Raw genomic sequence first — 27,453 nt, forward strand, 5'->3', positions numbered from 1 at the left:
GAGTGGTATGTTATTGCAGTATCTCTGCTCACTTCTGAATTTTCTGAGTTCTAACTAACCCACCATCTATTCCTTTTAGTTATAATCAAGAGCTCAAAGTTCAACTAGCCATTTCATAGAAAAGAAAAAGATTGAATAGTACATTCTTCTCTCAAATGATTTTAGTGATCTCAGTACAGAAATGAAAAATAGATGAGAATTCAAGTGAGGTGTATCTAGATTTGAATTCTAGTTTTGTCCCTCACTCTTCCATGAACTTGAGCAAGTTGCTTCACTTCTACAAGAAGTGGGCATGATAGATAATGCCTACCTTTTTGGGGGTAATGTATGCATTAAATGAAATTGCTAATATTGAGACAGCATAATTATCTGGCACATTATAAGCCTATAATAAATACTTTTCTTCCCTCATTTTACAACATATTTTCTAGTTTCCCTATGCATTTAAATTGTATTATAAAATTTGTCCAAAATGAGGGTTTTTTTCTGAATTTGTTTCAACCAAATGTTTAATAGGGACCTTTCATCTGTCAGCAGAGGCTACACACAAGTAAATAATACAGATTCTCAAGGAGCTCATAGACTGTGCCTGAAATTGATTTATGTCTCTATTTAATGTATTAACCTTCATAAATGAACTTGTGTTTCAAGTGAGTTTGTATTGATTTGCCCATACTGCTTCCCTTTGTCCTCCATGTGACCCAGGTCACAAGGGCTTCAGAGTGGACAGGGCTTAAGACAAAAGCAGTCTCACTATGGAAAGAGCAAGGCCAAATCCATGAGATTAGTATATTAGCAGGGCATACTAATTGGCCAAGCTAAGGTTTGAATTTACATGCTGTATTCTCACTTATGCCCAAAACATCAAAGCAAGCACTAAATATTTTTAAAAATTGAGGAGTATCAGAGGACAAAAATAACCCAGTACTTGGATAAAAAGCCACTTTTCATGGAAGGGAAAATGAGAAGCATATATAGAAGGGAGTTTAACCTTGTGATGGGTAAAAATGCCATGCATGTGACCAAAGACCTTTAAAATAGAGCCTTGTTGGAAATAGAGCCTTCAATGATAGAAGCTGATTAGGGAGGTTTTTTGTTTGTTTGTTTGAGATGGAGTTTCGCTTTTGTTGCCCAGGCTGGAGTGCAGTGGCGTGATCTCGGCTCACTGCACCCTCCGCCTCCCGGGTTCAAGTGGTTCTCCTGTCTCAGCCTCCTGAGTAGCTAATTTTTTGTATTTTTAGTGGAGATGGGGTTTCACCACGTTGGCCAGGCTGGTCTCGAACTCTTGACCTCAGATGATCCACCTGCCTTGGCCCCCCAAAGTGCTGGGATTACAGGCATGAGCCACTGTGCCCGGCCTGATTGGGAAGTTATTGTTTAATGGGTATAGAGTTTCAGTTTGAGATGATGAAAAAGTTCTGGAAATGGATAGCAGTGATGGTTGCACAACAATGTGAATGTACTTAATGCCACTGCATTATACACTTAAAAATGGTTAAAATGGCAATGTTTACATTATATCTGGTTTATAATTAAAAAATAAAAAGCACAATGTAGATACAGCAAAGAAATAGTGGAACCTGGCTGATTGAATGTAGGGGTTCTCTAGGAAACTACCTCACTTCCTTATTTCTGTGGCTAAAATGGTAAGGCACTGTGCTTTTTTTTTTTTTTTTTTTTTGACTTGTCAACCTACATGTGAATGTGTATTTATGCTTCCTGTGACCCGCTCCACTTAGAGAAGTCAGAAGCTTTGTATATAAAGTATTATTATGTAGAGATGATAATAATGTGTTTTCTGACTCAAAGCCTTTCTCTGATAATCATCTAGCACTTATTTCTCAAGGTGCTTTTACATCTATTTTCCCTGTTGAGCTACAGAGCCCGGGAGGCATTACCATTGTTTCATGGATTTGAGGAAATGTAAACGCAGAGAGGTTGGTGCCTCAACACAAGTCTTAGTACAAGCAGGACTGGAACTTGTGACTTCTGGGTCCTGAGTTAACATTCTTTTTTTGTTTGTTTGTTTTTTGAGACCGAGTCTCACTCTTGTCACCCAGGCTGGAGCACAATGGCACGATCTTCTCTCGCTGCAATCTCCGCCTCCCGGGTTCAAGCAATTCTTCTGCCTCAGCCTCCCAAGTAGCTGGGATTATAGGCACTCACCACCTGTGAGTGCTTGGCTAACTTTTGTTTTTTGTTTTTTTTGAGACGGAGTCTCGCTCTGTCGCCCAGGCTGGAGTGTGGTGGCGCCATCTCGGCTCACTGCAAGCTCCGCCTCCCGGGTTCACGCCATTCTCCTGCCTCAGCCTCCTGAGTAGCTGGGAGTACAGGCGCCCGCCACCACGCCCGGCTAATTTTTTTAAAAATGTTTTAGTAGAGACGGGGTTTCACCGTGTTAGCCGGGATGGTCTCGATCTCCTGACCTCGTAATCCGCCCGCCTCGGTCTCCCCAAGTGCTGGGACTACAGGCGTGAGCCACTGCGCCCGGCCTAACTTTTGTATTTTTAGTAGAGACAGGGTTTCACCATGTTGACCAGGCTGGCCTCAAACTCCTGACCTCAAGTGATCTACCCGCCTCAGCCTCCCAAAGTGCTGGGATTACAGGCGTGAGCCACCGCGCCGGCCTACACTCTTTACACCATATAATGTTTGAACTTTCATGACTGGTCTTGACACTAAAACTTTTGTGTAAAGAGGAAAAAAACGATCAATCACATGAATGTAAGAAGGAATAATAAGGTATGACCACCACCAAGATAACTGAAATTTTGACTTGCTGTCCAAATGTTTTGGCATTAGGTAGCCATAGCGTGAACATAAAAAGAATTGAACACAAATGTTAAATTGAAATAATTCTAAACCAGGCCATGCTTGTCATTCCAGCTAGCAAATACAAAAGGTCAATTTGAAAAGCTAGGCATCACTGGGTTAATCAGTCATAAAACACCTTTCCCTAAGCTTATCAGCTTATCAGGGCATTCAATTTCCCTATTTGTAAAAAGAGACTGAAAATTATTTGTGCCCTGATTCATGTGCTACATTTTACATAAATGTAAAAGATAAAACTGAATTTTTGAGATAACTGTTCTATAGGAACTAAGGGTAGGAAAACTAAATTAATGAAAGAAGAGATGAGATTAGCATACACAATGTTTACCTTCTCACCTTGAATAGATGCCAGAGAAGAGCAGCAAATCTGACTTTATGCTTCTGAGGAGTAAAGCAAAGAGGGAACCTGATTAATTGCAAGATTTATCCATAAGATTAAAGCCAAACTATAGGTGAAACACTTTTTGATCCTAAAACCTGTGAAATATTTATCCTATGGATTCTCATAAAGAGGACATGGTACGAGAGAGTGAAAAATGTCCTTGGCAACATCGCTACAATAGACACAAAAAGAGCTTTCATGTCTCTGGTTCTTTGATATCGTTTAGTAAAGGCCAATGGTGTAATACCAAGGCACATTCTACAAGGGGTCAGTGAGGATCTGTGTTCTGAAGTTCTAATTTCATGTGTAGCGAAAATAATGGGAATATAATATAATTTGAGCTCAAACTCAATTTCAAAACATAGCTAAAATGCTAAGTTTTTATAGTAAAGTTTATCAAATTCCGTGTATGCAGACTATATAAATAACGGTGTATGGAGACACAGCAGGGGGTGGGAGAAGAGCAGTTACCTTACCATGGTCTTACCTTGAAAGCATAACCCGATGGGTCCGATGTTCTTCCGAGCACGTTTCCCTGAGGCAGATACAGTTTAGGGAAAAAGAGTATAATGGGTTGGATGGCAATAGAATTTGTTGGATAAGTAAGCAGGTGAACTATGAAGGTAATTAGATAATGGATTGATATCAAAGTAGAGGGAAATTTTTAACGTCCTTCCTCAGGGCTCTCACCAGAACTTATTAATCCCTTTATGAAATCAATGACTTGGCTAAAGATATGGAATTTGTGATTGGCAGATTTATCATATTAGATCTAAGTGCCAGAACAAACAAACAGATTCTCAGCAGATTAGAGTGATGAGATAATGCTATCAAGATCAACATCAACAAGGATGAAAAGAAGGCCACATATTTTTGACCTGGTAGAAGGGGAAACACTGTCTTGGTATTGTTCCCCAGTCTTTTCATGTCATTCTTCAAATTAAACAAACATTGCATTGAAGGCCTGTTGTGTGCCAGGCACTATGCTAGGTAGCAGAAATACAACGATAAATAAGGCACACACCCTAGTATGGAAGACATATATAGAAAACGCCAGACTGTGTGTATTAGTTCGCTCTTGCGTTGCTATAAATAAGTACCTGAGACTGCGTAATTATGAAGAAAAAAGGTTTAATTGGCTCACGGTTCCTCAGGCTGTACAGGAAGCATGATGCTGGCATCTGCTTGGCCTTTGGGGAGGTCTCAGGACAGTTACAATCATGGCAGAGGGTGAAGAGGAAGCAAGCACATCTTACATGGCCAGAGCAGGAGGGAGACGGGGGCAGGGGTGGTGAGGGGTGGTGGAGTGAGGGCTACGTACTTTTTTTTTTTTTTTTTGAGATGGAGTTTGCTCTTGTTGCCCAGGCTGGAGGGCAATGGTGCGATCTCAGCTCACTGCAACCTCTGCCTCCCTAATTCAAGGGATTCTCTTGCCTCAGCCTCCCGAGTAGCTGGGATTACAGGCATGCACCACCATGCCCGGTTAATTTTGTACTTTTAGTAGAGACGGGGTTTCTTCATGTTGATCAGGCTGGTCTCAAATTCCTGACCTCAGGTGATCCGCCCGCCTTGGCCTCCCAAAGTGCTGGGATTATAGGCCCAGCCTGGTGCTGCATACTTTTAAACTACCAGATCTCATGATAACTTACACTCACTATTATAAGAACGGCAGGAAGGGGATGGTGTAACCAATTCATGAGAACTCCACCCCAGTGATCCAATCACCCCCCACCAGGCCCCACCTCCAACCCTGGGAATTACAACCCCACATGAGATTTGGTGGGGACACAGATCCAAACCATATCGGTGTGTAAGTGTTGTAATGAAGACAAATTTGGTACAATAGTGGCATGGAGTGTGGGGAGAGTTCAGTTCCTTGGAAGTTGAAGATCAGGAAAGGCTCCAATGAGAAGGCAAGCCCAAGTTAAAAAATAGACCTTCACTAGGCCTGGGCCTTGGGGAGTGGAGGGGTAACAGACAGAACAACACAGGAGAGGTGTATTCAGGGAGCTACAAGTGATTTTGTTTGGATGGAGACGTTGATGTGTGGGGAGGGGAGATGGTAGGCAATGATGTAGTGAGGGTAGATAAGGCCATTAGAGAGGAAACTGTTTGGACTCTGGCAGTGGAGACAGCCATTGATTGATTTTTTTTTTCTTACATATAGGAATAATGTGATCAAAATGGCATTTTTATAAAGGTCACTCTGGAATAGTGCTTCAGATGGTTTGGACATGGCGCTAGGGTAATTATGGAGAAGGAAACCAATTTGGAGCCTGCATTAGTCTGCTTAGGCTGTGATAGCAAAATATTGCAGATACAGACTAGGGGGCTTAAACAACAGAACATTAATTTTCTCACAGCTGTGGATGTTCGAAGTCCCAGATCAAGGTCTGGCAAGGTCAGTTTGTGGTGAGGGCTCTCTTTCTGGCTTGCAGATGGTCACCTCCTCACGGTGTCCTCCCATGGCCTCTCGTCTGTGCATGCACATGGAGAAAGACAGAGGACATGAGAGAGAGAGAGATATTTCTGGTGTCCCTTCTTTTTTTTTTTTTTTTTTCAGACGGAATCTCGCTCTGTCGCCCAGGCTGGAGTGCAATGGCACGATCTCGGCTCACTGCAACCTCCGCCTCCTGGGTTCATGCCATTTTCCTGCCTCAGCCTCCCGAGTAGCTGGGACTACAGGCGCCCACCACTACGCCCGGCTAAGTTTTTGTATTTTTAGTAGAGACGGGGGTTTCACCGTGTTAGCCAGGATGGTCTCGAACTCCTGACCTCGTGATCCACCCGCCTCTGCCTCCCAAAGTGCTGGGATTACAGGCGTGAGCCACCACACCTGGCCTGTCCCTTCTTATAAGGACACTAATCCTAGGGGATCAGGGCCCCACCCTTATGACCCCATTCAACCTTAATTACTTTCTTAGAGTTCCTGTCTCCAAATATAGTCACACTGGGGGTTAGGGTTTTTTATGGTTAATATTAAGTGTCAACTTGACTGGATCTAAAGATGCCAAGTATTGTTCCTGGGTGTGTTTGTGGGGGTGTTACCAGGGGAGATTAACATTTGAGTCAGTGGACTGGGAGTGGAAGACCCACCCTCAGTGTGGGTGGGCACCATCCAATTGGCAGCCAGCACAACTAAAAAAGCAGACAGGAAAAGGTGGAATAAGCTGGCTTGCTGAGTCTTCCAGCTTTCATCTTTCTTCCACGCTGGATGCCTCCTGTCCTAGAATGTCAGACTCCAGGTTCTTTGGCCTTGGACTCTTGGACCTACATCAGTGGTTTGCCAGGAGCTCTCTGGTCTTCAGCCACAGACTGAAAGCTGCACTGTCGGCTTCCCTACTTTTGAGGCTTTGGGACTTGGATGGAGCCACTCCTGGCTTCCTTGCCCCTCAGCTTGCAGATGGCCTATCGTGGGACTCCTTCACTTTGTGATCATGTGAGTCAATTCTCCTTAATAAACACGCTTTTCATTCGGCTCCAATGAGTGGAGGAACACCAGGGTTCTTCGTCTTGAGTCGGATTAGATAAAACGACACGGACACACGTGGAGTGGTTTTAAGGAGCAGAGATTTTAATAGGCAAGAAGGAAAGGAGAAGATGGAAGAAGCTCCACCATACAGAGACAGAGGGAGGGGGGCTCCAAAGCTGAGAGAGGAGACCCTATGTGCCACAGATACCAGCTGGGTATATGAAGAGGCTGGAGGAGGCGGTGTTTGATTTGCATGGGGCTCAGGGGATTAGTTTGACCAGGTATGTCATTCACGTAGCCAGTGAAAAAAGGCCCTCCCACCCTATTCTTTTAATATGCAAATGCAGGGAGCCATGATATTCTGCACACGTGGGGAAACCTAGGGGTGGCCATGTTGCCAGGCACATGTCTGGGCAAGGGCAAGAAGGCTGCCAGAATCTCCATGTTTGGGTGGACCCAGTTTCTAATGGCCTATATTTGCATATCAAAGGCTGCCGGCCTGGCTTTAAGAGCCCGGACTTTCCAGCTAGACAAGAAACGTTTCTGGAGCTGCTTTAAAAACGAAAACTTTCCAAGGACCCCTTTTCCTCTCTATCAGCCTAAAATAATTTCTTAATAACTCCTACCACGCTTTCATATATACATCTATCCTATTAGTTCTGTCCCTCTGAAGAACCCTGACTAATACAGGCTTCAATATGTGAACTTGGGGGGTACACAAACATTCAGTCCAGAGACCATTACAATTGTTTAGGTAAAAGAGGATGAGGGCCTGAACTAAGTAGTAGTCAGAGGGTAGGTGGGGAAGGATGTCAGAGATGCTAAGGAAATGAAATGAAAGAGAGGATTCTTTGCTGATGTAGGCAATGGCCGGGGCAGGGAGGGGAGAGTGGAGAGCACAGGGCAGCTCCCACATTTTTTGTTCTCTTGTAGGTTAGATGGTAGTACTGCTAAGAAGAATAAAGATTGTGGGGGAGGGTTTCTGATCTTGAAGAAATGCTGGTCAGAAGAAGTGGCTCACGCCTGTAATCCCAGCACTTTGGGAGGCTGAGGCGGGTGGATCACTTGAGGTCAGGGGTTTGAGACCATTCTGGACAACATGGTGAAACCCCCATCTCTACTAAAAATACAAAAATTAGCGGGGCGTGGTGGCGCATAGCTGTAATCCCAGCTACCTGGGAGGCTGAGGCAACGAGAATCGCTTGAACCCAGGAGGCAGAGGTTGCAGTGAGCGGAGATCGCGCCATTGCACTCCAGCCTGGGCCTGGGTGACAGAGTGAGACTCTGTCTCAAAAAAAAAAAAAAAAAAGAAAGAAAGAAAAATTGCTGACAAGATCAGTTTAAGATATGTTAAGTGTGAGATATCTGTGAGACATGTGCTGAACATGGAGGAGGTAGTTGCAGTTATAGGTGTTTGTTTCAAGAAAGAATAACCTGGGCTGGAGGTACAGAGACCGGAGTCATCAGCACTCAGTGCCCCATTGGATGCAATCGGCTTGGATAGACAGTGAAGAATAAGAAGAGAAAAGGACCAAGGATTGTTCTTGGAGGGAAACTGTACATTGAGACACCAAAAACTCTTGCTAATTGTCTTATTACTTCATTCTAAAGCTAGGAGAGGCCGGGTGTGGTGGCTCATGCCTATAATCCCAGCACTTTGGGAGGCCAAGGCAGGCAGATCACTTGAACTCCGGAGTTCAAGACCAGCCTGGCCAACATGGCGAAACCCCGTCTCTACTAAAAATATGAAAATTAGCAGGGCGTGGTGGTGCACGCTTGTAATCCCATCTACACGGGAGGCTGAGGCACGAGAATCACTTGAACCTGGGAGGCAGAGGTTGCAGTGGGCTGAGATCATGCCACTGTACTCCAGCCTGGGTGACAGAGCAAGACTACATCTCAACATAAATAAATAAAGGAATAAATCAATAAAGCAAGTTAGGAGAAAGACTATAGAAATACTTTTGGATTAATAATTTATATTTTTCCATATCAGGCTCTCACCCACATTCTTAACAATTTTGTCTGAGCACATACCCACTTTTATTGTTGACTCATAGTGATATTTTTTGCTAATAAATGAGAGAAGCCTCTGGAAGGTGCTGTAATAGGTAAAGGATTATACTTAGCTGCAAATTTAACCTCTGTAATTCCAGCTGCAGAATGTAGTCATTTATTACAGGGAAAAATTGCTGGCTATGAAGAAGACAAATGGTTGCCTCTTTGCCCTAGTTTAAATAGGATGATGGCCCTTGTGTATTCCCCTAAGATGAAGGTCTGACCACCTGTGAGCCAGGCTGGGAAGGTCTGTTATCAGAGTCCCTGCCTGTGTTCTGGATCCAGGTATCTGTTTCCAGCTTTTTTTCTGAGGGCTCAGCTTGCCAGCAAATAAAAAGCAAATATAACTAATAAAGAGAGAAAAAACTACTACAAAACTGAAGGAAACCTCGTATGACATTAACATAAACCAGAAGGAAAAGTAAATATCGAAACTGAGTATATAGAGCAGGCAATAACCCATGCAAATGTACAAGATTGCCTATTCCAAATAGGTAGAGAAAGTGTGATCAGTGTAATTGTTCATACACAGGGCAATATATTAGAAAGCATGGGATAGAAAGCAGGTGGCCGGAGGAAAAGCCACCTTGTTTATTCCTTATGCTTCTCAGTTGTGTCTATTGGTGATAGGCTTCCCAGATTGAGTAAGTCAAAGCTATAATAAAAATGCCTCTCTGAGAAGCTTTTATGCCTAGGATAACCTTGAGCTTTTTGTGTTTTGTTTTAGCCCAGAGGAGAAAGTCTAATAATACCTCTCTCCACAAAACAAAATATTCACCAGTTCTATTCTTGTTTAAGGCTGTTATCATCTCAAATAAGTATTTCCATAGGAAAAATAAAAAGTCATGGCAAAGTTACATGAATTTTGGAGCACAAATATAATGCAGAATCAAAAGAAAACAGGTAAGACTGTTTCCATTCAATTGTACTGCCTTTGGGGTAAAGATTTTATCTAAGTCAGATATAAGGGATAAGTGTTATGCAACAGAGAGCCAGGAGTGGAACCCCCAAATAATGCCATTTAGCATCATTAGAATAGGATCAGGATCTTTTTTTCTCCCAGGAAGTTAAAGGTATTTCTGCTGCATAATCATGTTAGCCTGAAGACTGCTTTATATCTACATAGGGTGATCATCCAAGAACATGAGTTTGAAATCAGAAGCTGTGATGTACTTTTTACTGAAAAAGGTACCACCCATTCATCTAACTAATGGCGAGGTTTCAGAGAAAGCACTATAATGGACAGAAAACTGATTCCACATGAAGTGTATATTATAACAGCACAAATGTTAGGACAGTTATCTGATAGGATCTGGGAGTGAAACAGCAGGACTGCAAAGGTGCTGGGGAGGAAAGGAAATAAACATCTGTAGGGAGAAATATTTCAATCTGTATTTAAAAGATATTGGCTGGGCGTGGTGGCTCATGCCTGTAATCCCAGCACTTTGGGAGGCCGAGTTGGGCACATCGCTAGAGCCCAGGGGTTCAAAACCACCCTGGGCAATATGGTGAAACCCTGTCTCTACAAAAACTACAAAAAAACCGGCTGGGCATGGTGGAGCTCACCTGTAGTCCCAGCTACTCAGGATGGGGAGGATTGCTTTAGTCCAGGAGGTCAAATCTGCAGTGAGCTAAGATCACACTACTGTACTCCAGCCTGGGCAACAGAACAAGACCCTGTCTCAAAAAAAAAAAAAAAAAAAAAAAAGAAAAAGAAAAAGAAAAAAAGTAGTGCTGCTGATTAGGGAATCTAGTTTCTGATGTAACTTATGTAGATCAGAGATCTCTTGAGAATTTGTGTAGCTTTTGTTTTCAACGCCCATCATCCTTAAGGAAGATCATTTACTGAAATTCCAGACCTTTATAGTTGAGAAGAAAAGCTGAGACTCAAAAGGAAATTTACCATCTACTATCTCACTGCTTTAACTTTCTTTCTAAACGATAGAACTCAATAAATGTCAGCTGTTTTTACTTGTCAGGTTTATGTGGTAAGCACTTTACATTTTGGATGACATTTTATCTTTACAGTCTTACAATGCAGGTAGTGATATTTGTTTTACACATGGTAACAGCGGTTCAAAAAGCTGAAGTAGGCCAGGTGAGGTAGCTCATGCCTGTAATCTCAACACTTTGGGAGACTTAGGCAGGCGGATCACTTGAGGCCAGGAGTTGGAGACCAGCCTGGCCAACATGGTGAAATCCTATCTCTATTATAAATACAAAAACAGGCCGGGAGCGGTGGCTCACGCCTGTAATCCCAGCACTTCGGGAGGCCAAGACGGGCGGATCACGAGGTCAGGAGATGGAGACCATCCTGGCTAACACGGTGAAATCCCGTCTCTACTAAAAATACAAAACATTAGCCGGGTGTGGTGCCGGGCGCCTGTAGTCCCAGCTAGTTGGGAGGCTGAGGCAGGAGAATGGCGTGAACCCGGGAGGCGGAGCTTGCAGTGAGCCGAGATCGCGCCACTGCACTCCAGCCTGGGCGACAGAGCGAGACTCCGTCCCTCCTCCCCAAAAAAACAAAAAAACTAAAACAAAACAAAAAAAATACAAAAAAAAAAAAAAAATCGCTGGGTGTGGTGGCACATGCCTTTCATCTCAGCTGCTTGGGAGGCTGAGGCATGAATGAGAATCGCTTGAACCCGGGAGGTGGAGGTTGCAGTGAGCCGAGATCGCACCACTGCACTCCAGCCTGGGCGACAGAGCAAGACTTTGTCTCAAAAAAGGAAAAAAAAAAAAAGTGAAGTAATCTGATCATGGCCACAAAGCAAGCCAGGTTGTGCACACCAAGCAGGTGATTGAAAAATTCATTCTTAATAAAAAATTCTGTCTCCTGAGAGGATAGAGATCTGCAATGTGACCACTGAGGAGGGACACTTAGTCTAACCTGGGGGGTTCTAGAAGGGCTTCCCTTAGGAGATGAGGGCTTAAAAGGATCTGAAAGGTGAATAAGAATTAGAAATAGGAGAAAGGTAGGATAAATGTCATCAGAGAGAATAATATGAGTAAAAGCACGTAGGCCTGCCACAGCGTTGCTACAAGCAGTTTAGCATTATCAGAGTGTAGCGTGAGTCAGAGATTGATGGAAATTAAAGATTGAGGGAGGGGTAAAGAGAGAGCCATAGCAGGAGGGCCTCGGTATGCTATGAAGCTTAGATTTTACCCTAAGAAATGAAAGTAATTAGAATAATATAGTAAAAACAACAAGTGTACAAGGAAAAACCAACAATCTGTAGGGCTTAGAAAAAAAAACAGGATTTTAGTCTTCTAGATACCTTTTGGGAAAGGAAAAAGATGGACTGTTCATTAATCTTTTTTTTTTAATTTTTTTTTTTTTGAGACGGAGTCTCGCTCTGTCGCCCAGGCTAGAGTGCCGTGGCGCGATCTTGGCTCACTGCAAACTCCGCCTCCCGGGTTCACACCATTCTCCTGCCTCAGCCTCCCGAGTAGCTGGGACTACAGGTGCCCGCCACCACGCCCGGCTAATTTTGTGTATTTTTAGTGGAGACGGGGTTTCACCATGTTAGCCAGGATGGTCTTGATCTCCTGACCTCGTGATCCGCCCACGTCGGCCTCCCAAAGTGCTGGGATTACAGGTGTTGAGCCACCGCGCCCGGCCCCTCATTTTTCTTAAAAATATTTTTGCAATAAAATGATCATTGCCTGGAACCAAGAAAATGAAAAACATTTTAGAACAGGCAGCTGTCCTCAGTAATGTTTCTGACTGCAGGAAAATTGTTAGGCAAGCCATGGAGTATTTGAAACTGAATGGTAGCTGTTATTATATGTAGCTCCTAGATTAAGCACTTTAGTTAAGTATCTCATTTAATCGTCATAACAACCCTATGCAGTAGGTAATTACTTCTCAGTTTCAGTAGGTAAATAAAACCAATGACTTGTCTAAAGAAATATAGTTTAAAACAAAGTAGGATAAAGAATTGCTGAGTTCCCAGTGTTAGTAAAATAAGTCCTGAAAACTGGTAAGCCAACCATAAAGATTGAGGAGAGTTGATTATCTCTGTGGACAGATACAAAAACGAAATATACCAAAGTCTGAAAAATCCTACCTTTCTTTCTTTCTTTTAAATTTTTTTTTTTTTTTTGAGATGGAGTCTCACTCTTGTCACCCAGGCTGGAGTGCACTGGCGTGGTCTCGGCTCACTGCAACCTCCGCCTCCTGGGTTCAAGCGATTCTCCTGCCTCAGCCTCCTGAATAGCTGGGACTACAGGTGCATGCCACCACACCCGGCTAATTTTGGTGTTTTTAGTAGAGACAGGGCTTCACTATGTTGGCCAGGCTCGTCTCAAACTCCTGACCTCATGATCCGCCTGCCTCGGTCTCCCAAAGTGCTGGGATTACAGGCATGAGCAACCGTGCCCGGCCTTTTTCTTTTTCTTCCTTCCTTCCTTTTTTTTTTTTTTTTTTTTTTTTGAGACACAGTTTCCTTCTGTTCTCCAGGCTGTAGTTAGTGCAGTGGTGTGATCTTGGCTCACTGCAAGCTCCACCTCCTGGGTTCAAGCAATTCTCATGCCTCAGCCTCCTTAGTAGCTGGGATTACAGGTGCGTGCCACCACACCCGGATAATTTTTGTTTGTTTGTTTGTTTATTTATTATTTATTTTGAGACAGAGTCTTGCTCTGTTGCCCAGGCGGGAGTGCAATGGCGCAATCTCCGCTTACTGCAACCTCCGCCTCCCAGGTTCAAGCTATTCTCCTGCCTCAGCCTCCTGAGTAGCTGGGATTACAGGCACACGATACGACGCCTGGCTAATTTGTTTGTTTGTTTGTTTGTTTATTTTCTTTTGAGACGGAGTCTCGCTCTGTCGCCCAGGCTGCAGTGCAGTGGCGTGATCTCGGCTCACTGCAAGCTCCACCTCCTGGGTTCACCCCATTCTCCTACCTCAGCCTCTCGAGTAGCTGGGACTACGGGCACCTGCCACCGCCTGGCTAATTTTTTGTATTTTTAGCAGAGACGGGGTTTCACCGTGTTAGCCAGGGTGGTCTCCATCTCCTGACCTCGTGATCCGCCTGTCTCAGCCTCCCAAAGTGCTGGGATTACAGGCGTGAGCCACCGCGCCCGGCCGACGCCTGGCTAATTTTTATATTTTTAGTAGAGATGGGGTTTCACCATGTTGGCCAGGCTGTTTTCAAACGCCCGCCTCAGCCTCCCAAAGTGCTGGGATTACAGGCGTAAGCCACTGCGCCAGGCCAACTTTTGTATTTTTAATAGAGGTGGGTTTTGTCATGTTGGCCAGGATGGTCTTCAACACTTTAGCTCAAGTGATCCGCCTCCTCAGCCTCCCAAAATGCTGGGATTACATGCATGAGCCACCACGCCCGACCTCACTCCTTTCTTATTAATTGGTTGGTGGTCTTTTTTAAAAAGATAAACTAATATTTCATAAAGAAAACAATTTACCCTGCACATTACCATTAAACTTGAAATCCTCCTAGACAATACTGTGGGAAGTTCATGTGGGCTTCTGAGTAAACTTTCCAAGATCTAAAACCCGTAAGGAAACCATACGTGTAACTTAGCAAAGATAAAAGACTGACAGTGTCCAAACAAGTAAGAATCAACCAGGTTAGACTATGATTACAAACAACCCTAAAATTTCAGTGGTTTGTTATAAGAAAATTTCTGTTCACACTAAATGACCACTGAGGGTTGCCTGGTGGGTACTCAGTTTGGTATCCAGGGTAAATCAGCATCCCTATCCAGCACGGTAGCAGATGGAAAAGGGGCATGTCAAAATCATACACCAAAATCTTAAAGCTTCCACCTGGAAGAGACAAACATAGTTTATGCTCGCATTTCATTGGCCAGAACAAATCATGTGGCCACATCTGACCCAGGGTAGGCAGGGAATTGCATTCTACCATGTAGCCAGAGAGTAAGAAAAATTTGCTGAATAGTACTAATGACTACTACGGTGATAACTTCAGAAAAGCAGAGGTGAAAGGAACCTAAGAAAGAAAATTCTGGAGCTAGGAACAGCATTAGGCGCCTATAATTATGTGAACAGTTGATGACCTATTCATAATGGTGGCTAAGAGGATATTTAATATATCATTTCACACATATGAAAAAATGTTGTGGCTGGGTGTGGTGGCTCACGCCTGTAATCACACCGCTTTGGGAGGCCGAGGCGGGTGGATCACCTGAGGTCAGGAGTTTGAGACCAGCCTGACCAACATGGTGAAACCGCATCTCTAATAAAAATACAAAAATTAGCTGGGTGTGGTGGTGCACACCTGTAATCCCAGCTACTCAGGAGGCTGAGGCAGGAGAATCACTTGAACCCAGGAGGCGGAGGTTGCAGTGAGCCGAGATGGCACCACTGCACTCCAGCCTGGGCGACAGAGCAAGACTCCGTCTCAAAAAAAAAAAAAAAGGAAAGAAAGAAAGAAAGAAAAATGTTGCATTAAGTAGTTGGCCAATCAATGCTATAAGAAGTTTGCAGAAAGACACTGTGGGATCTCTCACTGGTCATATAGTATGGGAAATGTTTATTATACTCCTTCACTCTCACTGGGGATTCAATCAAAAGCTATGTTACTTCTAACTAATTTTTCAAAAGTGTGATTCTAACAGTATTTCCTGTTGCATTGCTGATTGCTAGCATTAGACTTACGGAGCTTCTTTCTGTTTAATGACTCTCTGTGCAAAACTTTCACGTATGACATATGATCCTACTTATTGCTACTTAACGTTTCCTTCAGTAAGCTATCTAATTTTAAACTATTACATAGAAAATGAACTAGATAACTCAAGACATTTCTCATTAATTAAATAACTTCTTTTTTAGAGAAAATCGGATCTTGTAACTTCATTCTCCAAATAGAACAGAGTCCTCCCTTTAGAAAGAACATATATAAGAGGTTTCTTAGTTGTGTTTCCCCAGAAACTGACCCAAAGGGTAGGATTTGAGGGCAAGTATTGTAATCTATTTGGGATGAGATCCTAGAAAGCATTGGCAGGGAAGAGAGTGAAGGAAATAAGTAGAGAAACCAGGAGGGAAGGAAGAAAGGAAGGAAGGATGGCAGGCAGGTAACACTGTTCCCTAAAGGGGAGGTTACTGCTGTGTGTATCTGAAACTCAAAGTTGGGCACCTTTGGGAGACTAGAGTACAATTTACCGTAGTCCTAAGCTCAGTGGGGAAGCTGGAGTATTTTTATATCAACACCTTTTTTTTTTTTTTTTTGAGATGGAGTGTCACTCCGTTGCCCAGTCTGGAGTGCACTGGCACTATTTAGGCTCACTGCAACCTCCGCCTCATGGGTTCAAGCAATTCTCCTGTCTCAGCCTCTCGAGTAGCTGGGTTTACAGGCACATACTACCACGCCCCACTAATTTTTGTATTTTCTAGTAGAGACAAGGTTTCACCATGTTGGCCAGGCTGGTCTCGAACTCCTGCCCTCAAATGATCCACCCACCTCAGCCTCCCAAAGTGTTGGGATTACAGGTGTGAGCCACCATGCCTGGCCTCAACACCTATCTTTGATTGGTTGAGGGCTGCTCTGAGAGGAATTAACTGCCTGGCTCCTCTGCCCTGCCCCTCTGCACTGGCAAAGTGGGGTCTGGCAGCCACAGGAAGCCCTTGAATGGGGAAGCAGAGAGGGAAGAGTAAGATGCCATTGGCCTGCCAGTAGGAAGCCCATGACATACTGGTGGAGCCCCAGCCCTGTTAGTACAGAAAAGATACCTGGCTGATATGCTCTGCTATATCCATCTTTGAGCCTAGATGATGTTAATTAACTCTTTAAAAATATATTAAAGCTGTGGTGGCATCTGAGAAAAGATGGTATGCTTTTAAAAGGTAGGAGTGAACAGCTCATACATTGTCCCAGGAGTGGGCTTTATTACAGAGATGGGGGAGCTCTGACCTGTTGAAGACCAAGATTCCAGGAAGAAATGTTTGTTCACAAGCAGGTTGGGAAAGGGAGATACTTCAAACAGCTCTGAGAGCAATATTTCATAAAGACAGGCAGCAGGAAGAAAGCCTTCTTAAGGCCATATTGACTTTTGCACCTAGCAAATGACCCTTACTCTTCATTCCCATAAAAAAGAGAGAAACAAACAGTAAACATTTTCAAAGGATCGGTAATGTTTTAATAGCTCTGATTAGTAAGCGGAGTATTGGGTGTTATTTCGAAGTCAAAAATTCTATCTTGGTTGATTTACCCTATAACCTGGAGCATTTTCGAGAGGCAACAGAATGGAATTGTCTCAAAGTACTGACTTTTCATTATTTTCCACGCAGATCCCTGAGGATAACAGAAGGAAAGGTTTTGTCTGGGGGAGGGTAGGCTTCTCCCAAAAAGAGAATTCTGGAAGTCAACATAATTAAACAAAGAGGAAAATGTGCCAGACAGGAGTGGGTGGGGGCTGTTTTCTCTTTGTGGTTGGTTGTGGTGCGTTCAAGATTCCTCGCCTAAGATGAGGTTCCTGAGCTTCCAGTAGGCGACTGACTGCCCAAGAGACCCAGGGCTCCGCAAGGAGACGGCGCAGGTGTCGGGGCTCCCCGCAGGTGAGGAGGCCGACGTTCCAGGAGGTCCGCCCGGGCGGTCCCTGAGTCCTGCCTCGCGGCTGCTCGCTGGGATCCGAGGGCGGAACGGGACGCGCAGGAACCCGGCCCGACGGGCGCGGCTCACACCCGTGCTCTTCCTGCGCTCTCGGCCTCACTTTGCGGCCAGAGCCGCGGCCCTGCGCGTGGCCGGCGGCCGCTTCTTTATCTCCGACCCCACTGCCCAGTACTGTACGCGTCCAGACTAAAGAAACATCATTCGCTTAAGGGGCTGGGAAAAGCGCGTGCTCCGCTCGCCCTGGCACCGCGGGTCGCCCAGCTCGCAGACTGGGACGGGCGGTGCAAGAGGTGGTGCTCCCTGTCCAGGAGGGGACGCGGAAGAGGGCATCTCTGGTCCCGGGATGCGATTGTCCCGGTTTCTCCTTCTGGCCCACTCGCCGCGCGCACGAACTCTAGGGGAAGTTGGTTGTAAAGTTTCCGAGAGCGGCGTGGGCTGGTGCGAGTGAAGCGCGGGGCGGGGGAGGCGAGGACAGAAGCTCTCCTCGCGGCGTCTTTGTTCTGCTCTGGAGGAGAGACCTTGGCAAGGAGTCGCCGGGCGGGTGCAGGGACCTACCGCCACCACATTCCGGACCCAGCGGGAGCCCTCCTCTTAATGCCCCTCCCCCCGCAAGCCAACCCAGGACATAGCCCCCAGGTCCCCAAGGTTCCGTCTACCTCATCCTTCTACCCCCAAACTTCACCAACCCGAAAGGATTCCAAGTCTGGGATGGGGAGAAAGGAAAGAGGGTGGAGGCAAAGGTGCGCGACGGGCTGGATACCAACTGGAGGGTGGGTGTTCGCATTGAAATGTTTTTTTCTTTTGCCCTAGAAATTGCTTCCCCATGCGGGCCCCTACTCTCTCCCATTTCCCCCACCTCCCTGCTTTCTTTTTCTTCAATTCTAGTGGATCTAGAAGGAAAACGAGTGCTGCTCTGAGTCACTCAGCGAGCTAATGCTATGGCCCGAAGTTGGGATCAGGGTCGAGGGGTGGGGGACCATGTGGATGGGGTCCCAATTCTGGAGGTTGAGAATGACTGGAAGGGACCTGGGGAAGGGTCGGGAGCTGTTCCTGGTCCGAGACACCTGATTTGTCCCGGACAAGGCAGTGGGGGAGGGGAAGGAAAGAGGGGATGCTCGGCTGGGACGTGTCGCGGCAGGGGGTGGAGGATGAGGAGGCGGCCTGGGACCCCGAGTCAGATCTTTGGGGTGAGCACGAGGACGTGGTGTAGGGAAGAGGACGAGTGAGCAGCGCCTGGCTGTAGGGTCAGAGGGCGCCTGGTCATCCTGAGAGCCTTGCCTTCGCAGTTTGAGATTAGGGGAAGTTCGGGGCCTGAGAAGGTGGGCGCGATGCTGGAGCTGGGAATTCTTCCTCGGAGCCCCTGGACCGAGTTGCGCTGCGCCTGCAGCAACAGGTAGCCCCGAGGGATGGGCGGAGGCCCCGGCCGAACCCGGAGCTGGCCTTTGTCCTGCCAATTAGAGGGCTCTCCAGAGGGACAGCGTGGGTGGGGGTAGGTGGGGAAGGGCGGGAGAGGAGTTTCCTAACACTTGGAGCCCCTTTGAGTTGTTCTGTGTATTGGGTGGAGGAGGGTGAATCCGAGAGGAGGGAGGAGGGTGAATCCGAGAGGAGGAAGGAGGATGAAGAGCCTAGCCTGCGCCCCACCTCTGATTGTGTAAGCGCCTTTATCTAGGGTTGACCCCCTACCCTTTGCATTTTGTCTCTTGGGATGACGAAAAATGGACAGAAACTCGACGCCCAAGTGAATGTTTCACATTGATTGGCAGGGAAAGTGCAAACAAAGAGGTGCATCTCCGGGAAACAATGATTTTGGAGATCCCCTGCCCACCACCCCAGACTTGTGCGCGGTGCGGAGGGGGCCAGGGCTGGCATCTCCCGGGGAAAGTTTCGAGCCTGGCAGTGGGAGGAGACCGTCTGGGCAGAGTTGTGATGAACTGGGGACCGAGCAGCCCCAGCTCGCCTCGGAGGTTCCCGAGCCGGGCGGGAGATGCGGGGAGAGGGAGGGGGCGGGGAGGGAGGGGAGGGAGAGAGGAAGAAGGGGTGAGAGGGAGAAACCTGCCGCCGCTCGCCGCCTCTTTGTCTGCTCCGGGACTTGGAACAAAAGGGGGAACTCTGATGAACTCTCTTTCCTCCCCTCTCCCCCGGACGCCGGGGTATCTCCCTCTCGCAACTTTGCCGCCCCGACTTTCTCTGCTGTCAGGCCGGGAAAAAGTGTCCGAACGCCTCGTGGACTGCAGCGGGGGAAATGTCCCTTAAAAGTGCGACGAAGTGGGGAAGAAGGTGAGTGGGGACTGTTGTCTTGTTTACCTCTCTCCCCTCAACTCGCCCCGCTCCCCGCCCTTCGGAGGGCAGAGGAGTAGCCCAGTGGCAAAGTTTGGCTGGTAAATTGTACCTCCTTTCCCCGTTCCCTTCTCTTTTGTTCTTTAAAGAACTCGCGCAATTGTTTCATTTGTTTATTTTTAATAGGCAAAAGCCAAGTAGGCATTTATCTTATGTGCTTCTTTATATGAGGGGCTGGGGGGATGGGGAGGAGGGTTTCAAAAGGGTGGGGTGAGGGGGTATTGCTTCGCGTTCTTCCAGCTGCACTCATGTAGGGATGAATATGCAGAAATTGAGAGGGTCAAGTCCAGCCTCGCCCCCACCCTAGCCCTGACCCTGGTCATGCAAAAGAAAGCGATATGGATATGGGGGTCGTTTGTATAACTTAGCTGTCTGCAGAGCGCTCTGTAGATACCACGCACAATATAAAAACGCTGCAACAATGGAAGGAAGAAAGGTTTGGGTTGGAGGGGATTGGTCCCTTGTGTTAGCGGTCAAGGAGAGGTTTACAACAAACAGCTAAGAGTTCAGAAAGTTTTCTTCGGGGCTGAGATGGGGTGGAGGAAGCCACAGGTTACAGACTGTCAGAGATGCAGGGATGGAGGGGATGGGGCCTGGACCACTAGTTAGAGCCATCCCGTCCGCCCCTTTCAGTTTCACGATCCACCCGGAATAACCCAGGCAATCCTTGGTATCCGTCCTCACCTCTCTCACTTTCCATCACCCCCCGCCCCCAACCCCACTTCAGTGTGTTTGAATAGAAAGCAGAACGTGAGCCCCAGAAGCTCCTCTGACCCAGCCTTCCGCCCCGCCTTTTGTGTTTTAACCTTTTGTTTCTATCTGCCACGCCCGTCCAAAAGAGGGATGGCTGTTTCTGCTGCTGCGGGGTGAAGAGGCAGCGCAGTCCACTCCGTTTTTATAGGCTAAGGAAGACGCCCTAACTTTGTTTCCTAAGTAGCTTAACTTAGGAATGTTTCTAGGTTGGGTCATGCGCGAATGAGGGGAACACTCAACACCCAGTAAACGTTGCCACTTTAGGTACAATTTCTCCCAGCGCTTTTCCACTTTATACAGGAGTTGTTTATCCCATACTGTCATTTGGTTTGTAGAAAAAGCATTTTGGGGGCCGGGCGCGGTGGCTCACTGTAATCCCAGCACTTTGGGAGGCCGAGACATGTGGATCGCTTGAGGTCAGGAGTTCGAGACCAGCCTGGCCAACATGGCGAAACCCCGTCTCTACTAACAATACAAAAATTAGCTGGGCGTAGCGGTGCGTGCCTGTAGTCCCAGCTACTTGGGAGGCTGAGGCAGGAGAATCGCTTGAACACAGGAGGCTGAGGTTGCAGTGAGCTGAGATCGTGCCATTACACTACAGCCTGGGTGACAGAGCCAGACTTTGTCTCAAAAAAAAAAAAAAAAAAAGGAAAAGCATTTTGGAGACTGAAGTTGGGGGTTTATTGAAAGTGGGCAAATGTATGCCTTATCTGAGGTGATATCTAAATATTAGGAATATGCAGAATAGGCTTTTTGAATTCTACATGCAGAATAACCTAAAGGTTATTATCTTCAGGTATGTTTTGTGAGATCATTTCTGATGCCAGGATAGTTTATTACCTTCTCCACTTTCTTCTCTCATATATTCCCAAGTGCTAGAGGCTTTCCTCACTTCCTTGGACTTACTTTTGACAAGACAAATGAAACATCAAAGCGCATGCACTGTCAATAACTTGAGGAAACGCCCAAACATTGTCTTTTAACTTCTTCAACTTTTGATTCTGTATAGTAGTAGTTACTATTGAAGTAGTTACTATTGTACCTAGAAATGATTCAACTGCTAGAACTATGTAGTTTTGAGTTTTCATATCAAAGACTGAAATATATTATTGCAACAATTACTTTCTTTTACAAAGTGAGGAGGCAGAATGACCTGGAAGCTAACTTTAATTAATTTCAATTGTATAGGTGTAATTACTATTATCAGCATCTAGAAAGCATCATGAATTTGCTGGAGTACTTCCTAGCACTGACCTCCTTCATTCTGCGTTGTTCTTACTGGATCTTTCCATCAGCCAACAATATGGAAGTACCAATACAAGGTCAAATCATTCCTGGATTCATCTGGAGTTGCTTAAAAGTTAAATCATTGGAATTTTTGATGATACCTTTTCTATATGGATTACAATTTGATCGCTGGGAATTCTCCACCTTAAAGAAGGTATGTTGCTTTTTAGATACTCTACGAGGACTTCATTTTTGGTCTGGGGCTTATACCCAGAGATTTGACTAGTTATTTTGAGCGGCTGTGTTATCAGAGTGATTTATGACTTTGGACTTCCTTGTTTTAAACTGTTTTCTGTAGATCCTTTCTTATTTAGGATGATGATTTGGGTATTTGTGATGGAATTTTATTAATTTTACCATCTGTTCTTCAACATTAGCACACATAATGAATGCAGATTATATGGTCACTAAGGAAATTTTGTAATGATGATGCATCCAGCAGGGAAATATCCTACTTTATTTGTGATTGATTTGCTTCTTAAATATTGCAGTAGATATTTCTAAGTTCTGTGTTAGCAGAACTTATGTTGTTTGCATTACTATTATTTTTCTTCATTTTGACACTTCATTTTGGTAAACAAAATCCAAAAATGGCCCAAAATAAATGTCTAATGACTGGGAGTCTATATAAAATACAGTAAGTTCTCTCAGAGTGAAAACCTTGAGTTTGTAATAACAGAGCCCGTACATTTGTTTAACCTTTATGGCATACATCAAGTTTTTATAGTGGTCATAAGAGTCTTCTATTCCTTCTTTTAAGTCTTACAATTAGTTTTTGTTCACCTCTGTGAGAAAGTAGTTAAAAATTCACATAACTACTGTTGGTAATATAAAAAGTTAATTTTGATATATTTACAATCCTTGTTTAAGTGATTGTTTGCCATGGAAAGTAAGAACTTTCTTTCTGTGGTCTGGTCAAATAAATTAACTGGGAATTGGAAACATTTTTATCTTGTTATGAGGAAAAAAGGAACATTACAACTTGCTTCTTTCTAGCTGTATAAACATAAACAAGCTACTTAACCTTCCTGGGCTTCTGTTTGTTACCAATAAAATGAAGGTTAAGTTAAATAACTTAAAACATTTTTGAAATCTTTTAACATTAAGATTCTATGATTTGTTACTTGCTTCTATAAATAAGATACATCCTCTCTTGTAAAGTTTGTTTTTACATCATTGAACAATAGAGTTAACAGCATCATCAAGTTTTTTTTTTTTTTTTTTTTTTTTGTGTGACGGAGTCTTGCCCTTGTTGCCCAGGCTGGAGTGCTGTGGCGCGATCTTGGCTCACTGCAACCTCTGCCTCCCAGATTCAAGCAATTCTCCCACCTCAGCCTCCTGAGTAGCTGGGATTATAGGTGCCTGCCACCATGCCTGGCTAATTTTTGTACTTTTAGTAGAGACCGGGTTTCCCCATGTTGGCCAGGCTGGTCTCAACTCCTGACCTCAGGTGATCTGCCTGCCTCGTCCTCCCAAAGTGCTAGGATTACAGGTGTGAGCCACCGTGCCCCGCCTTGGCATGATAAACTTAATGTGATTTAATTACAATTATTTTGTTTGAATGCTTAGCTCAGGTAGCATTAGTTCAGGAAATATGCTTTAAATTTTCTGTAAAGTATACTCTCAACTAAGTGTTCTGTATGGAAATTTCAGATTTCCTTAAATGTTCTCAATAAAAGTTTGTCTGCTGGAATTTTTTTTTTGGAGGTGGAAAGTACAGTATTATTTCTCGACAAACGTTTTACCTACAAATATCTGAAGTCAATATGTTTGAATTTGTTATAATGGCCACTCAGAGTTGATATCAGAGATTTAGAAAGAGACTTTGGAGTAAAACAGACCTGAGTTCGAATCACAGCCTAGGCAATTACTATGATACCTCCTCCACGTTACTGGATTTTCATGGCTCCGAATTTCCTCATTTGCAATGTGTATATCCTAACACTTATCTCATATGGTTGTTGTAATATTTTTTTATGTAGGAAAAAACAGAGGGCTAGGCATCTGTAAACATAATAAAAAGTACTGTTACTTGCTTTCACAATGACTTAATGATGTTTTGTTACTTCAAACTTTCTTTGTTGTCTCCCTTACAAGTTTCAGGCCCCATTAACCAAATATTCACTGAAATATTCAAAGTCAATTTGGACAGAAGTTTGTATCCGTTTAAATGTTTTTCTGTAAAACTATATTTAATTCAAATCTTATATCCAGTTGATTGCAGATTAATTTACTTCAACGAGCATTTATTAAATCGTACTATGCATGAGTATATTTCTGAAGGTCATGGCCTTACCTTGGAGTATGTGGCCTTTCCATTTTCTTACTGAAATATCTGTAGGTTGAGATAATAGTGACTTTCTATAATTGACTTACTGAAATTCTCTATTTTCAATGCTATCAATGATTTAGATATGGTTTAAAAACTCGTGTTTATTCACTTTTCAGCTAAAATATAAAGTGATGGCTCAGTGGTTTCTTGATGAGGAAATCAAGAACTGTAGCACATTTTCTATTACTAATTTTATAGAATGATCTTTAGTTAAATAAAAAACTTACAGTTAATATAAATAGCACTTAGAAGAATAGCATTTCATTTTGAAACGAAGTCTCAAGTCATGGATTTTCATTTTCTAGGTCTGTAATATAGCAATATGCATTGCCTTCTGAGTGATTATTTAGTTCAAGGAAGAGTATATTCATTTTATCTTTAGGAAGTTTCAGATAGGAATGTTAAGGTATTATTTCTCATTTGTAATTTACTAGCAGATATTTGCCTAGATATGATAATGTTAGGAATAAAAATATGGAATTAATCAATATTAAAATAGGAAAATATCTTTTTTTAATATGTTTCCAAAACTTTGTTGAAAGCATTCATTTTAATTAGCAGATTATATATCAATATAGCAACTACTAATATAATACTTTGTAATTACAGAGTTTAAAATAATACATTCATTTAAAAATGTCTATATGTTGTTAATGTTTGAAGTGATAACCAAATATACTTAAAAACTTTACTATAGATATCAAATTTTATAGTCTTGGTTATTTAAAACTGCCCGTTGACTTGGATCAGTTTGAATTACTGAACGTAGAACAACCCACCATGGTGTTCACAATAAACTTACACAGAAAGAAAACCTAAATATTTAGCTATGCCTTCTAAAAATAATGAATATAATGCATGCTAAACATCTCATAAGTAAATCAAAAGCATTTATTTAACTTTGTTTCTTTTTTTTTTTTTTTTGAGACGGAGTTTTGCTTTGTTGCCCAGGCTGGAGTGCAGTGGCGCGATCTCGGCTCACTGCAACCTCCGCCTCCCGGGTTCAAGCGATTCTCCTGCCTCAGCCTCCCAAGTAGCTGGGCTTACAAGCATGCGCCACCAGGCCCAGCTAATTTTTTTATTTTTAGTAGAGACCAGGTTTCTCCATGTTGGTCAGGCTGGTCTCAAACCCCCTACCTCAGGTGATCCACCCGCCTCGGCCTCCCAAACTGCTGGGATTACAGGCGTGAGCCACTGTGCCCGGCTTTAACTTTGGCCTTTATATTAAGTAAAGGAAGTGATTACCTGCATATTTAGTTGTATTCTGAGTACCATTTCTACTCATTTATTTGCTATAAGTTTCTTTTGGTACTTATTTGTGTTCCCAAATTTACTTTGATTTCTTCTTTGTGGCTCAAATTTGCTGATTTTTTTTTTTTTTTTTTTTTTTTTTGAGATGGATCCTCGCTCTGTCACCCAGGCTGGAGTGCAGCGGTGCAATCTCAGCTCACTGCAACCTCTGCCTCCCAGGCTCAAGCGATTCTCCTGCCTCAGCCTCCCGAGTAGGAGTAGCTAGGACTACAGGCGCCCGCCACCAGGCCCGGCTAATTTTTTTTTGTATTTTTAGTAGAGATAGGGTTTCACCATATTGGCCAGCTGGTCTCGAACTCCTGACCTTGTGATCAACCCACCTTGGCCTCCCAATGTGCTGGGATTACAGGCATGAGCCACTGTGCCCAGCCAAATTTGCTGATTTTTAGATTTCGTGCATGTCTAAGAACTTTGATTATAGTTCTTCCCATTATTGTTAAAGATACAGGTATTTAGAAGTACGTTTTTTGTGAATCTAGAAAGCCTACTTGGTTCATTTTTTCTCATTCATTCTTTTACATAATACTTATTTAGTACTTTCTGTGTGCATGTGCCAGGCATTGTTTTAACCATCAAGGACACAGAAATGAACTAAAGTCCCTGCATGCTTAGAGCTTTCACTAGTGACAGTAAAATATATGTTAAAAGGGAGCAACTATTAATACTATCGTGAAGAATAAAGCAGAAAGGAGGAATAGAGAGTAGAAGGGGAGAGAGTTGCAAACTTCATTTGGATGGTGGGGGATGACCTCATGGAGAAGGTGACATGTGAGGATGGATTTGAAGGAAGTGAAGGAATGGGCTACATGATGCTGGGGAGAAAAGCATGCAGGCAGAGGAAATGACAAGTGTCTGATGTTTCAGAGAAAGCAAGGAGGGTGCAGAGGCTGGAGTGGAGTGAGCCATGGGGACAGTGGTAGGAGAGGAAAGAGGAATATGGCGGGTAGGTGCCAAGGAGCTTCAAAGGCCATGGTAAAGGCTTAGGATTTTATACCGAGGGAGGTGGGATGTTACTGAAAGGTTTTAAAGGATGAAAGCTCTGCTGTAACAGGATAACTCTGGCTGTTGGGTTGAGACCAGGTGAAAGGGGTGGGCAGGGGCAGAAACAGGGACACCATTTAGGAAGCTGTTTCAGTTATCCCAATGAGAGGTGATATTGACTTGGTAACAGGGTAAAAGTAACATGGAGGTAGTGAAAAGGAGTTGAAGTCTGAATATATTTTGGTATTAAAGTTTTTCTGGTGGGTTGGATGGGAAGTACGAGACAGAGAGGAGTGGAGTATGAGTCCGAGATTTTTGTCCTGAGCTCCCAGAAGGACCAAATAGCTAATAACTGAGATGAGAATCAGGCTTGGGGCATAGGATACCAGTAGCTCAGTTCAGATGCATTAAAATTAAGATGCTTTTTTTTTTTTTTTGAGATGGAGTCTCTCGGTCTGTAGCCCAGGCTGGAGTGCAGAGGCGCCATCTCGGCTCACTGCAAGCTCCGCCTCCCGGGTTCCAGTGATTCTCCTTTCTCAGCCTCCCGTGTAGCTTGGATTACAGGCACCCGCTACCAAGCCCGGCTCATTTTTCTTTATTATTAGAGACGGGGTTTCACCATGTTGAACAGGCTGGTCTTGAACTTCTGACCTCAGGCAATCCGCCTGCCTTGGCCTCCCAAAGTGTTGGGATTACAGGCGTGAGCCACCACGCCTGGCCAAAATTAAGATACTTTTTAAGCATTTAGGCATTTGATAAACAAGTCTGGTTTTCAGAGAAGTGTAGAGACACAGATTTGTTAGTTGTAAGAAATTAAATGCTATTTAAAGCCAGGAGACTGGTTGGGATTACCCGGGAGTGAGTATAGAAAGACAAGAGGTCTAGATACTGAGCTTTAAGGCCTTCCAGATTTAGAAGTGGGCAGGAAGTAGTAATAATGAAAAGGGAGTGCCGCTGGGGTGAAAGCCCAGGGAAGGAAGTGTTTCCAGGAGGAAGGCAAGACAATCTGTGTCAAGTGTTGCTGAAGGATGAAGATGAGAACTGAGAATAAATCTGTGGGTTTAGGCATTTTGGAGGTCAGCGCTCACTGGGAGTCTTCACTAGAGCAGTTTTAACAGA

General features: G+C 44.3%; 1 protein-coding gene and 1 long non-coding RNA gene across 2 annotated transcripts in view, besides 3 other annotated features; one reads left to right on the forward strand and one right to left on the reverse strand.

The window, feature by feature from the left end:
- Positions 1,550 to 1,750: a silencer, noted in NCBI's record as "peak5729 fragment used in MPRA reporter construct". NCBI's record gives its function as "represses an SCP1 promoter by STARR-seq MPRAs in K562 erythroleukemia cells {active_cell/tissue: K562}" and the evidence as "EXISTENCE:reporter gene assay evidence [ECO:0000049][PMID:32103011]".
- Positions 1,890 to 2,390: an enhancer, noted in NCBI's record as "H3K27ac hESC enhancer chr6:21649156-21649656 (GRCh37/hg19 assembly coordinates)". NCBI's record gives its function as "activates a minimal SCP1, AML or CMV promoter by ChIP-STARR-seq in naive H9 embryonic stem cells {active_cell/tissue: H9 hESC(naive)}" and the evidence as "EXISTENCE:reporter gene assay evidence [ECO:0000049][PMID:30033119]".
- Positions 17,506 to 19,025, reverse strand: LOC124901483 (uncharacterized). The gene is made up of 3 exons (XM_047419653.1): positions 19,017 to 19,025; positions 18,612 to 18,780; positions 17,506 to 17,923 (listed from the first exon to the last, which is right to left on the reverse strand). The coding sequence occupies exons 1-3, from the start codon at positions 19,023 to 19,025 to the stop codon at positions 17,520 to 17,522; spliced, it is 582 nt and encodes a 193-aa protein (XP_047275609.1). The 3' UTR covers positions 17,506 to 17,519.
- Positions 18,643 to 18,937: a silencer, noted in NCBI's record as "tiled region #7931; HepG2 Repressive non-DNase unmatched - State 20:ReprD, and K562 Repressive non-DNase unmatched - State 21:Repr". NCBI's record gives its function as "represses a minimal TATA promoter and a strong SV40 promoter by Sharpr-MPRA in HepG2 and K562 cells {active_cell/tissue: HepG2 | K562}" and the evidence as "EXISTENCE:reporter gene assay evidence [ECO:0000049][PMID:27701403]".
- Positions 19,378 to 27,453, forward strand: part of CASC15 (cancer susceptibility 15) — a 529,408-nt gene continuing 521,332 nt past the window's right edge. The window contains exons 1-2 of the long non-coding RNA NR_015410.2: positions 19,378 to 19,610; positions 21,612 to 21,864. This is a non-coding gene — a long non-coding RNA (cancer susceptibility 15). The remainder of the gene's footprint in view (positions 19,611 to 21,611; positions 21,865 to 27,453) is intronic.

The sequence above is a fragment of the Homo sapiens genome, chromosome 6, assembly GCF_000001405.40.
Source record: "Homo sapiens chromosome 6, GRCh38.p14 Primary Assembly".
Classification (NCBI taxonomy): Eukaryota; Metazoa; Chordata; class Mammalia; order Primates; family Hominidae; genus Homo; species Homo sapiens.